The sequence below is a fragment of the Homo sapiens genome, chromosome 7, assembly GCF_000001405.40.
Source record: "Homo sapiens chromosome 7, GRCh38.p14 Primary Assembly".
Classification (NCBI taxonomy): domain Eukaryota; kingdom Metazoa; phylum Chordata; class Mammalia; order Primates; family Hominidae; genus Homo; species Homo sapiens.
The window spans coordinates 132,652,034-132,664,933 of NC_000007.14; the positions used below are offsets into that span (position 1 = coordinate 132,652,034).

Genomic DNA, 12,900 nt, shown 5'->3' on the forward strand with positions numbered 1-12,900 from the left:
TGTTGAATAGAAAGCAAGTTTCAAAGGACTACCATCAATATGTCTTTTTTAAACTCAAAATCAAGCAGAATGAAACAACATATTGCTTAATAATTCACACAGATGAGGAGGTGAAACTATACTTTAAAAGTTCAGGGAATGATAAGCATAAAATTCAAAATAGTGGTTATTTTTATGGAAGAGCAGGGCCGTGGAGTCTGTTGGAGGAGGAGAATGCAGAGAGCATCTATCTTATTGGTAAAACTCTGATTTTTAATTTGGGTGGTGGCTTCAGCAGTGTGTGTTTCATTAGTATGCTTTATTTGTTACCTTGTTATATAGACTCTACATATATTTATTAATACACTTATTAAATATATATACTAAAATTTAAAATACTAAGAAAGAATGTGAGGGAAAGCCATCTCTGGTCCCAAATCTTATTATCTTCCCTGAAATACACTTGCCCTTTGGGGGCATGTTGAGATTGATTAAGGCCAGATAAATTCAAATTGTAAAATCATTGTTATTCATTCATTTAACAAAAATTATGGAGCATCTACCATGTGCCTGCCCTGAGGACTGGTCACTGAGCAGGACAAACTTGGCTCTTGCTCTCACTTCGACAGAGCTAAGACTCTAGGAGCTAACCTGAGTCCTGGAGAATGTCTCCTTTCTTCACTTCCTCTTGGGCAAGCAATCTCCATTTCCTTCCCCACAGTGCTGCTGTCTTCTGAAAAGAAGCAGTGGACAAGGGATAAGAACCTGTCTTGGGAGGAGCCAATCTCTTCTGGGGTCTAGAATCTGCCTCTCAAACAAATCTCACTTTGTAATTAGACTTTCTTTGGCCACTAGACTGTCCCCCAATATGGTTTGGCTGTGTCCCAACCCAAATCTCATTCTGAATTGTAGCTCCCACAATTCCCACATGTCATGGGAGGGACCCAGTGGGAGGTAACTCAATCTTGGGGGCGGATCTTTCCCATGATGTTTTTGGGATAGTGAATAAGTTTCACAAGATCTGATGGTTTTATACAGTGGAGTTCCCCTGCACATGCTCTCTCTTGCTTGCCACCATGTAAGATATGACTTTGTTCCTCCTTCATTTTCCACCATGATTGTGAGGCCTCCCCTCACAATGGTGAGGTGGAATGGTGAGTTTATTAAACCTCTTCCCTTTATAAATTACCCATTCTTAGCTATGTCTTTATTAGCAGCATGAGAACAGACTAATACGCCCCCCAAGTAATTAAAGCCTGTAGGCCTTTCTATACACCTGGCTGATGCCATCTGCTTAGACCACAACAGTCTGAATTTGGATCCTCGCACCATGGTTGAAATGTGAATGTAAATGGCTTGGAGCTATGTTTTTCACAAGTGCTGGTGTGTCACTTGTGTCCCGCCCTATGCTTCTCAACATCCTGGTGTGTTTAAGTGACTTGCTCACTCCTGAACACCTGGTCTCCCTCGACGTGCCAGGGCCCTCAGTCCCTGCTTGCTTGCTACGTGCTATCAGAGTCTGATGACACCTGGCCAGTCCTATATAAAGGGGAAGTGGTGACTGATGGCCTTGCTCTGCCCAAGCTGCTGCTGTGAAACCTGCCTGGAAGACACTGACAGCAGCTCTAGCCCTCCCTTGTGCTAAGGAGAAAGGCTCCAGCTCTCTAAGAGCAGTGACTATAGGAACAACAGCTCACCCCTTCTGTCAGCTGAGCTATCCCCAGCCTGGAGAGGTGAGATGCCACCTCTGCTAACTTCCTTTTTTGGCTAGGAATATCCATTTTCTTCCTCATTGAGTCTGAGGAGGTAGCACTAGAAAAGCTTACTTATGCTTTTATCATTCAGATCTCTGGGTAAATTCTTACTCACCCAGAGACAAAAAGAACCTGCTCTAAGCTCCATCTTAGGTGCAAAAATTAGGTACAAGCAGAAAAAGAGAAGTCTGAAACATGGGTCTGCCTGAGAAGATGGTGGAAGGGGATTGCAAGTAGAGACTGACAGCCCCAAAAACTTGGAGAGACCCCCCCAGACAAGTCAATCAGAAGTGCCCAGAGTAACCTTCCCATAGAATTTTCTGCCACAATGGAAATGCTCTGTGACTTTATGTCCAATATGGTAGCCATGAGCCATGTGTGTGTCTCTGGAGCACCTGAAATGTAGTTAGTGTGACCAAGAAACTGAGTTTCTAATTTTGTTTGATTTGAGTTAGTTTGAATCTGAAGAGCCACATATGTATTACTGTATTAGACAGAAAGCTCTAGAAAAACGCTAAACTGAAAAAAAAAATTGAGGGTTGTCAGTGAGGGACAACCACCACTAGAGGCTTTCAGCAGGTTCTGAGCCAAGTTTAGAAATTTGCATGGGCCAAGCTTCAGCAGGCCAGGGGAAGTGGAGTTTCTACCTGAAGCTGAGGGGAAATCCAGCTCCATCTCCACGAAAATAGTATTTTCTAGGTACCGAGAGAAGAGGTTAAAGATAGATGTAAAGAAGCCATCACTGTGTTGTTTATTATAACCCAAACACTGGAAGTAATAGGATCAATACAATAAAAACTGCTGAGCACATATGATGGAACATTACACGAACATTAAAAATCATGTTTTTAAAAATTATTTGGTCACATAAGTGAAAAAATAGAATATGAAAAATATATATACATCATGATCAAAATTTCATGGAGGTAAATACATTATGTATACATGTATAGAAAACAGCTTAGAATGAAATATACTAAATTATCAACAGGAGTCATTTCTAGGTGGTAAAATTTTGAATACTTTTACTTATGTTTTATATTTTTTGCATATTTCCAAATTCTCTGTAATGGTCATTTGTTATTTTATACCAAAAAAAGTCCTATTTAAAGGATGTTCTAAAGAGCTTTTAATAGTGTAGCAAATGCAACTTATTGATAAGCAAACAAAGCAAGATATGATATTGTACATGTAAGTTCTATCATAAGTACATAAACCATATGTGGAGAAAACATTGGAATGTTTGCAATGCTCTCGTGAAATTACATACCTTTCTACTACAGTACTCTTTTCTATAGCCATCTTTTCTGCAATTAGATGTGTATTATTTTCTAACACAGAGGTGGAGAACTCCAACTCATCTGGATGAATCTCCAACCCCAAATATTTAAACAAGCATGTTCAGGCCCTTCCCCCAACCCTGGGTAGACTTGAGCCTTGCTCCTCCCACAGCGTCTTGGGGACACAGTGGCAGTTTCTTGCCCAGCACCCTCGGTGGGCTCCTGACACTCCTAGTGCCGAAATGGATGGCTACTCACCCTTTGGGGCTGACCCTTTCTCCTCCATCCCCTCCCACTCCATTACCACAGCGATTCATTGAAAGAGATCAATAATTATGAAAAACAATTGATTTTCTACTCCCCTCCACCCCCTTCTTTCTCTGAGTAAGTCTGTCTGACATGCATAACGGGAATCAAACCAGAGAGGAAGTGCTGCGGCTTCCCTGGTGGGACATTGTGCTCTCTCTCCCTCTCGGAGGGCCCCTCCCTCTGCACTTTCAGCGATTTCAAGATCCGCACATTACTCTTTATCAACTTGGCAGATGCTATTGCCTCTTCCGGCTCACAAGCTTCCGTGCTGGGCTCCTCTTGTCTGCTTCCTCTCCTGCTAAGATCCCAACACCAGCAACTCACCCAGGGCCGGCCGAGGCTCAGGCTGCAAACTGCACTACCCAGTTCTGAGAGGATAGAAAACTATAGCAGCTGGTTCATCAGGCTTGATGGTGCACCCCAGAACCTTCCCTTAAGGAAGGAGAATTCTCCAATAGATTCCCCTCTCAGTAAAAAACCTCATTCCCTTCATCTCAAAACAGAGGAGCTCGGAGTTGTAAGTGAACCCGAGTTGAGTGGGAACACCACCAAACCACTTCCCTCTGGAGCCCAGCTTTATACAGTAGACAGAATACTGGCATTTACAGGCTTATCATTTGCTATTTTGACCCAGGAGGTCCATTACCCAAAGTAACTTGCAATTTTACTAAGGCATGAATTTAAATTGTTTTTGCTGAATGGTTGATAAGGCAAAAGAAAACTGAAGGCGTGTCAATAACGAAATGGTCATTTGGAAGGGAAACTGAGGCATCAAGAGACGACAAGTATTGGTATAATGGGTCCTTAAAAGCTCTAATTTCAGACCCACAGCAGAGCATTAGCATTCAGAATGGTTGAAACAGAAGTTGATCTGGATTTATTAAAATGTCAGTTTCTTGATATAGTGGTCTCTTCAACAAAGTCTTAATTGCTAGCCTCCCACCAATTTGGAAAACACACATACACATACACACACACACACACACACAGTTTATTCATACCTTTAAACTACTCTGCTTGCCCTTAAAGTTCTCCATTCATTCAACCTCCTAACTGTGAAATTCAAATGACTCCCATCGGGCCCTAATGGCCCTGGTCCCAGATCACCAAAACAGTAAATGTGATGGTTAGTATTCAGTGTCGACTTGATTAGATTGAATAATGCAAAGTATTGTTCCTGGGTGTGTCTGTGAGGGTGTTGCCAAAGGAGATTAACATTTGAGTCAGTGGACTGGAGAGGCACAACCCACCCTCAATCTTGGTGGCCACCGTCTCATCAGCTGCCAGCCTGGCTAGAAGAAAGCAGGCAGAAGAAGGTGGAATTAGCAGACTTGCTAAGTCTGCTGGCCTTCATCTTTCTCCTGTGCTGGATGCTTCCTGCTCTTGAACATCCGACTCCAAGTTCTCCAGCCTTTGGACACTTGGAGTTACGCCAGGGATTTGTCAGGGGCTCTCAGGTTTTTGGCCACAGACTGAAGGCTGCACTGTTGGCTTCCCTACTTTTGAGGTTTGGGAACTCAGATACGCTTCCTGGCTCCTCAGCTTGCAGACGGTTTATTGTGGGGGACTTCACCTTGTGGTCGTGTGAGTCAATTCTCCTCTTCATATATCCATATATCCTATTAGTTATGTCCCTTTACAGAACCCTAATACAGGAACCCTCTAGGAAACACTGCTCCTGGTGGACATCTGTGAGTATGGCATCGAACTACTGTGGCCAAATGGACTCCTCCTCATCCATTAATCTTTCTTCTTATTTTCATCTGCCTCAAACCATCTCCAGATTTCCCTCCTTACCCCTGTTTACCTAAACTTTCTTGGCATGGCATGGGCCAGCCTGTGACACTGGGGAGCACAAATTACATCTCAAGGAGTGGGGACATGCCACCCTGGGCCCAAAGCACAAGCCACATATTCTGCAGGAAGAGCACACACCCCCTTTTGGATGCAGTGCATAATTTCTTCCTGTGTGTGCACTTGGGACTAGAACTCCTTAATGCTTGGCTTACCAGTCAAGTGGTAGGAAACCGAGCAGATGGAAGACGAGTAGGGCCCAGGTGCATGGAGGAGGGCTGAGTCAGGAAGTAGGAAGAGGAAGAGCATTTGGGGAAGAAGCAGGACTTGAGCAGTAAGAGTCATTCAGTGGGATTCATTTCGGGGCACCAAGTGAAACTTTGTCAGTCCCCCAGCTGATGACACAAACTGCGTCATTACAAATTCATTTCTGTAGCTCAAGGTTTAAATCTGCTAAAATGCAAATGTCTTGGTAACACTTTAAAAAGAGGTCAGTGTTTTATTCAGCTGTGAATGTGCCTCCACTTCCTGGAGGCTGGCTTTGATCAAAAACAGGAGAGGAGTAGGCACCTTGAGCGAGGAGGGGGCCAATAACCAGGGGGAGCTGAGAGAGCCTAGCATCTGGGAAGGACAGGGAGCTCACCATGCACCGCACAGCCGCTCCCCAAAAGTCAACCTCAACCTCTTCATCTTTTGCTTTCTTTTGATTCTCTTTCCTCTATTCTGCATCTTTTCCCTTTTTCCACATATGAATCCCCATTCCAGCCAGGATGGCTAGAGGTTTCCTAACTTCTCTGCCTCATAGCTTAACCAGGACATGTGTCCTCAGGACTTCCTGGGGCAATTTTTAAATAAGCTCTCCTTTAACACTCTCCAGTTCAGTAGCTGTATTAGTCTGTTCTCACATTGCTATAAAGAACTACCTGAGACTGGGTAATTTATGAAGAAAGGAGGTTTAATTGGCTCAGGGTTCTGCAGGCTGTCCAGGAAGCAGGGCTGGGGAGCCTTCAGGAAACTTTCAATCATGGCAGAAGGCAAAGGGGAAGCAGGCACGTCTTACATGGCCAGAGAAGGAGGAAGAGAGAGCAGGGAGAGGTGCTACACACTTTTAAACAACCATATCTTGTGAGAACTCACTCAGTATCACGAGAACAGCAAGGGGGAAATCCACCCCCATGATCCAAACACCTCCCACCAGGCTCCTCCTCCAACACTGGGGATCACAATTCAACATGAGATTTGGGCAGGGACACAAATCCAAACCATATCAGTAGCTTTGTCTTTCTTCCCTCCCTATTTCCTACTTTTCTTTCATCCTCCTTTTTAGTTCCTCTCCCTGCCTCTATTCATCTTTCCATCAATATTGATTAGGTGCCTGTTTACATGGTAGGCATGGGAAGTATAAAGATGTGTAATAGACAAACGAAGCCATCATTCTCCTTTCATTCAAAATTCACTTCAGAAGCTAAGCCCAAGCTTAGACAGCAGTAAGCACGTGGGCTTTAATTCTAGTTCTTCCTTTGACCCCTCCACTGCCTCCTCTCAGTGGACCTCAAGCAATTAAATCAGCCTCAATGCCTTGGTTTCTCTATTCATAAACAGGGACAGGAGTAAAATAGAAGATCCTTATTTTTTCCTTCACAACCTTGAAGAGAAGCATATTCATTTGTCTATAGGAGCATACTCATTTGCATCCCTCTAGGAACTCACAGAAAACCAGGTGGCATTATTAAACATACCAGTGAAAGATACTTCAAAATTCAGAGAATGTCTTTCTATTTTGTATATTAATGCTTTGGTAAATCTACCCTAGAGATTGTATAATAATATCTCATTTTAAAGTAAACTGAATGCATTATTCTAGTTTAATGCAATCAAATATTTAGGTATATATGTGACTTGTTTTTCCCATCTCATACTTTGAAAAAGAGCTTTCAATAAAGATTCCAAAACAGGTTGCGTTTTTCCCCCTAGAATTTTCATTGTCTAATAATTATTATATCGCTCAAAGCATGAGTTATATCAAGACTTTATGGATTTTTCTGAGTGGCAGTGTGCTGTGCCAGATAGAGCATTAGACTGAAAATCATGAGACCTGGATTCTAGGTATAATATTGCTATTTACTAATTCTTTATCTTTTTAGTTAAAATTCTCTTGGTAACCAGTAATGGAAACCAGCTCTAAATGATCTTTGTTTTTTATGAAAAATTTATTGGAAGGCCCCTGCTGTATGAAATTGAAGAAAGAGTTGGACAACCAAGACACGTGAAGAGAGAGCATGAGACTGGCTCCAGCACTCAGCATTAGGAGAGCATGGACTTCCTTCCAATTGTGCCACCTTTCACAGACCTACCCTCAAGAAACCTTCAGCCTGAGTCCCTGTGTCAAATGTCAAACTCTTGAGAAAGAGACTGATAAGCTCAGCTCGAGGCCAGGAGAGAGAACCTGCTATCTCTGGGGTCCAGGTCAGGAGGAATGACAGCCCAGATGTGACCCTGAGGCCTCCCCCTATACTGCAGTCATTCTCAGGAATGAGGGACATCACTAGAGCTGGGAAGGCCTGATATGGTTTGGTTGTGTACCCACCCAAATCCCATCTTGAATTGTAGCTCCCACATGTCATGGGAGGGGCCCAGTGAAAGGTAATTGAATCATGGGGGTTAGTCTTTCCTGTGCTGTGCTCATGATAGTGAATAAGTCTCACGAGAGCTGATGGTTTTATAAAGGGGAGTTCCCCTGCACAAGCTCTCTCTTGCCTACCACCATGTAAGGTGTCCCTTGCTCTTCTGCCGTGATTGTGAGGCCTCCCCAGCCATATGAACTGTGAGTCAAATAAATCTCTTTCCTTTATAAATTACCCAGTCTTGGGTATATCTTTACTAGCAGCATGAGAATGAACTAATACAAAGCCACTCCAAGAGGCCTCTGCCAGTATCTTTGGGCCATTATCCAGTCCCTGGGCCTCTGTTCCTTCTGTAAATGCCAGGAGTTTGACTAGATTATTTGAGATCCCTCCTAGCTTCTTCACCCTATGGTTCATGGTGGCAGTCCCTAGCGCTTCTTGAAAGTGATAATGGGACTCTTTGGACATCTTTCAGTATTTCCAAAAATGAAACAGAAATTTTTATGGGAGACAGGTTTGCCCGGGCACACTAAAAAAAAAAAAAAAAAATGATGTTTCAATTTATGGCCTAGAATTAGGTCAACCCAGTAGGATAGCAATGACAGTTTACTGATCAGAAGCTCTGATTGGCAGCTAAATTTTGATTAACATAAGATGGAATAATAATCATTGTTTAATCAATGTATCTTGATTGAAAAAAATGTCTTGTGAGATCACTTAGAAGTTAAAAGCATTGGAATCCTTCACGTATGTTGCAAGAGGAAGCTTAATTTATTTTTGTGAAGTTAGAGTACATTTCCTCACCCATACCCACAGACACCTACAAGAGAACTTGGAAAATAAGGAGCTGGCGTCTGCCTCTACTCAGCCACCTGAATAAAAAGCCCACATGTAACCAGTCATGGTGTCAACACCCGAAGTTGTTGTAAAAGCCCATATGCATTTAGCCATGGTGTTAGCACTCAGAGTAAGAAGGTGAGCTTCAGCAGTAGGCCTTTGTAAGGAGAAGGCTACATTTCATCTCAGAAAAGCTACCACCAATGCGCTTACCCTCTCTAAAGAAACTCAGAAGAACTTGAAGCCTAATAAATATGTGCCACTTTTTCTCACTGTCTGGACATTAACCATCAAAACACCTTTAAAATGACAGGGAGCCGTAATATATTATTTTGTCTTAAAGAAAGAATGAATTTAGGACTAGTCATATTCTTCCTGTAGCTAGTGTTGTGTCCATGGATCCATCACCTCTGCCTCTGAGCTTCAGTTTCCTCCTCTGAAGACTGAGAAGCTGAATATGAGGCTAAGATTCTTTCTAGCTCAAATTTTCTGTGTTCCAAAAACATGATGCATTACTTGAGCTCTTCCTATGTGCCTGGCACTATTCTAGGTGATTATAAATGTACAGTATGTCCTTTAATCTCCAACAACAATGCATCCTTTTCATCCCTGTTTTATGAAAAAGGAAACAGATCCACAAAGAGGCCAAGCTAGGGAGGAACCGAGTCAGATGTCTGTATCCTGAAAGTAACTCTGAGCCTGATCCGCTCAGGCACTGGAAGCTTCCCTACATCCCCTTTCTCCAATTTCTTCAACACAACCTGAGCAGACGCTTGCATGTGCAGTTCTTTTCATCTTTCCCCTGACATCACCCCAATCACCTAAGTTACTTGTCTCTGAATTGCCTTCAATTTGTCTTCATCTTTCTAGAACAGAAGAGATGATGGCAATGCACCTTGCAGGTGCAGTTTCCTTGGGGACCCCTGAACAAGGAGGTAAACTTCATCTGTTGAAGTCTCCTATAGAAGAGTAGAGAGTCTGTCTGGATGGTGCTGCCTAAGAGGCAAGAAACCACAGGACCCAAAAATAGCCATGGAGCACCACTTGGGATAAGTGCCCAATAAATGAAGGGGTAGGGAAATAGAGCCCAGGGAAAAAGGTTAAAGAAATTGGAATTTGCTCACATAAACATAGTAAAACTGATCAATATTGGGAGACACTTCTCCATGGGACTCAGCTTTTTGCATGTCTTGAAAGCAAGGTGTTATTTTATGTTCTAGATTACCTTTTCAAGAGTATTTGTATAGCAAACATCCCTGGAAGATAAGATGGGGTCTCACTCCAGAGTGAAGAACAGGAATGTTTACTGCCCATTAGAAAAGATTTGGATTCTCTAAGCTCGGGGTTTCTCTCTTACAATAAAACTTGCTCTGTGTACAGGTTGTTATCTGGCCATCTTCATTCCCACCTTGTGGGAACTGGGTCCAGGGAACCAACACAAATAAGCTGACAACTTGGCTACTGCTTTTGCTGTGAGTAATAAAGTCTTTTTTTTTTTTGCGGGGGGGCAGGACTTAATAAATTTACTTATTTTTTTTTATTATTATTATACTTTAAGTTTTAGGGTACATGTGCACAATGTGCAGGTTAGTTACATATGTATACATGTGCCATGCTGGTGTGCTGCACCCATTAACTCGTCATTTAGCATTAGGTATATCTCCTCATGCTATCCCTCCCCCCTCCCCCGACCCCACCACAGTCCCCAGAGTGTGATGTTCCCCTTCCTGTGTCCATGTGTTCTCATTGTTCAATTCCCATCTATGAGTGAGAACATGCAGTGTTTGGTTTTTTGTCCTTGCGATAGTTTGCTGAGAATGATGATTTCCAATTTCATCCATGTCCCTACAAAGGACATGAACTCATCATTTTTTATGGCTGCATAGTGTTCCATGGTGTATAGTGCCACATTTTCTTAATCCAGTCTATCATTGTTGGTCATTTGGGTTGGTTCCAAGTCTTTGCTATTGTGAATAGTGCCGCATTAAACATACGTGTGCATGTGTCTTTATAGCAGCATGATTTATAATCCTTTGGGTATATACTCAGTAATGGGATGGCTGGGTCAAATGGTATTTCTAGTACTAGATCCCTGAGGAATCGCCACACTGACTTCCACAATGGTTGAACTAGTTTACAGCCCCACCAACAGTGTAAAAATGTTCCGATTTCTCCACATCCTCTCCAGCACCCGTTGTTTCCTGACGTTTTAATGATTGCCATTCTAACTGGTGTGAGATGGTATCTCATTGTGGTTTTTATTTGCATTTCTCTGATGGCCAGTGATGATGAGCATTTTTTCATGTGTTTTTTGGCTGCATAAATGTCTTCTTTTGAGAAGTGTCTGTTCATATCCTTTGCCCACTTTTTGATGGGGTTGTTTGGTTTTTTCTTGTAAATTTGTTTGAGTTCATTGTAGATTCTGGATATTAGCCCTTTGTCAGATGAGTAGGTGGTGAAAATTTTCTCCCATTCTGTAGGTTGCCTGTTCACTCTGATGGTAGTTTCTTTTGCTGTGCAGAAGCTCTTTAGTTTAATTAGATCCCATTTGTCAATTTTGGCTTTTGTTGCCATTGCTTTTGGTGTTTTAGACATGAAGTTCTTGCCCATGCCTATGTCCTGAATGGTAATGCCTAGGTTTTCTTCTAGGGTTTTTATGGTTTTAGGTCTAACGTTTAAGTCTTTAATCCATCTTGAATTAATTTTTGTATAAGGTGTAAGGAAGGGATCCAGTTTCAGCTTTCTACATATGGCTAGCCAGTTTTCCCAGCACTATTTATTAAATAGGGAATCCTTTCCCCATAGCTTGTTTTTCTCAGGTTTGTCAAAGATCAGATAGTTGTAGATATGCGGCGTTATTTCTGAGGGCTCTGTTCTGTTCCATTGATCTATATCTCTGTTTTGGTACCAGTACCATGCTGTTTTGGTTACTGTAGCCTTGTAGTATAGTTTGAAGTCAGGTAGCGTGATGCCTCCAGCTTTGTTCTTTTGGCTTAGGATTGACTTGGCGATGCGGGCTCTTTTTTGGTTCCATATAAACTTTAAAGTAGATTTTACCAATTCTGTGAAGAAAGTCATTGGTAGCTTGATGGGGATGGCATTGAATCTATAAATTACCTTGGGCAGTATGGCCATTTTCACAATATTGATTCTTCCTACCCATGAGCATGGAATGTTCTTCCATTTCTTTGTATCCTCTTTTATTTCATTGAGCAGTGGTTTGTAGTTCCCCTTGAAGAGGTCCTTCACATCCCTTGTAAGTTGGATTCCTAGGTATTTTATTCTCTTTGAAGCAATTGTGAATGGGAGTTCACTCATGATTTGGCTCTCTGTTTGTCTGTTATTGGTGTATAAGAATGCTTGTGATTTTTGTACATTGATTTTGTATCCTGAGACTTTGCTGAAGTTGCTTATCCACTTAAGGAGATTTTGGGCTGAGACAGTGGGGTTTTCTAGATATACAATCATGTCATCTGCAAACAGGGACAATTTGACTTCCTCTTTTCCTAATTGAATACCCTTTATTTCCTTCTCCTGCCTAATTGCCCTGGCCAGAACTTCCAACACTATGTTGAATAGGAGTGGTGAGAGAGGGCATCCCTGCCAGTTTTCAAAGGGAACGCTTCCCGTTTTTGCCCATTCAGTATGATACTGGCTGTGGGTCTGTCATAGATAGCTCTTATTATTTTGAGATACGTCCCATCAATATCTAATTTATTGAGAGTTTTTAGCATGAAGTGTTGTTGAATTTTGTCAAAAGTCTTTTCTGCATCTATTGAGATAATCATGTGGTTTTTGTCTTTGGTTCTGTTTATATGCTGGATTACATTTATTGATTTGCATATATTGAACCAGACTTGCATCCCAGGGATGAAACCAACGAGAACAAAGACACAACATACCAGAATCTCTGGGACACCTTCAAAGCAGTGTGTAGAGGGAAATTTATAGCACTAAATGCCCACACGAGAAAGCAGGAAAGATCCAAAATTGACACCTTAACATCACAATTAAAAGAACTAGAAAAGCAAGAGCAAACACATTCAAAAGCTAGCAGAAGGCAAGAAATAACTAAAATCAGAGCAGAACTGAAGGAAATAGAGACAAAAAAAAACCCTTCAAAAAATTAATGAATCCAGGAGCTGGTTTTTTGAAAACATCAACAAAATTGATAGACCGCTAGCAAGACTAATAAAGAAAAAAAGAGAGAAGAATCAAATAGACACAACAAAAAATGATAAGGGGGATATCACCACCGATCCCACAGAAATACAAACTACCATCAGAGAATACTACAAACACCTCTATGCAAATAAACTAGAA

The 12,900-nt window shown here is 41.9% G+C and overlaps 1 long non-coding RNA gene across 1 annotated transcript in view; it reads left to right on the forward strand.

Moving 5' to 3' along the window:
- FLJ40288 (Putative uncharacterized protein) overlaps positions 1-12,900 on the forward strand; it is a 79,976-nt gene that overhangs the window by 3,240 nt on the left and 63,836 nt on the right. The window contains exons 2-3 of the long non-coding RNA NR_046323.1: positions 9,448-9,512; positions 9,958-10,049. This is a non-coding gene — a long non-coding RNA (Putative uncharacterized protein FLJ40288). The remainder of the gene's footprint in view (positions 1-9,447; positions 9,513-9,957; positions 10,050-12,900) is intronic.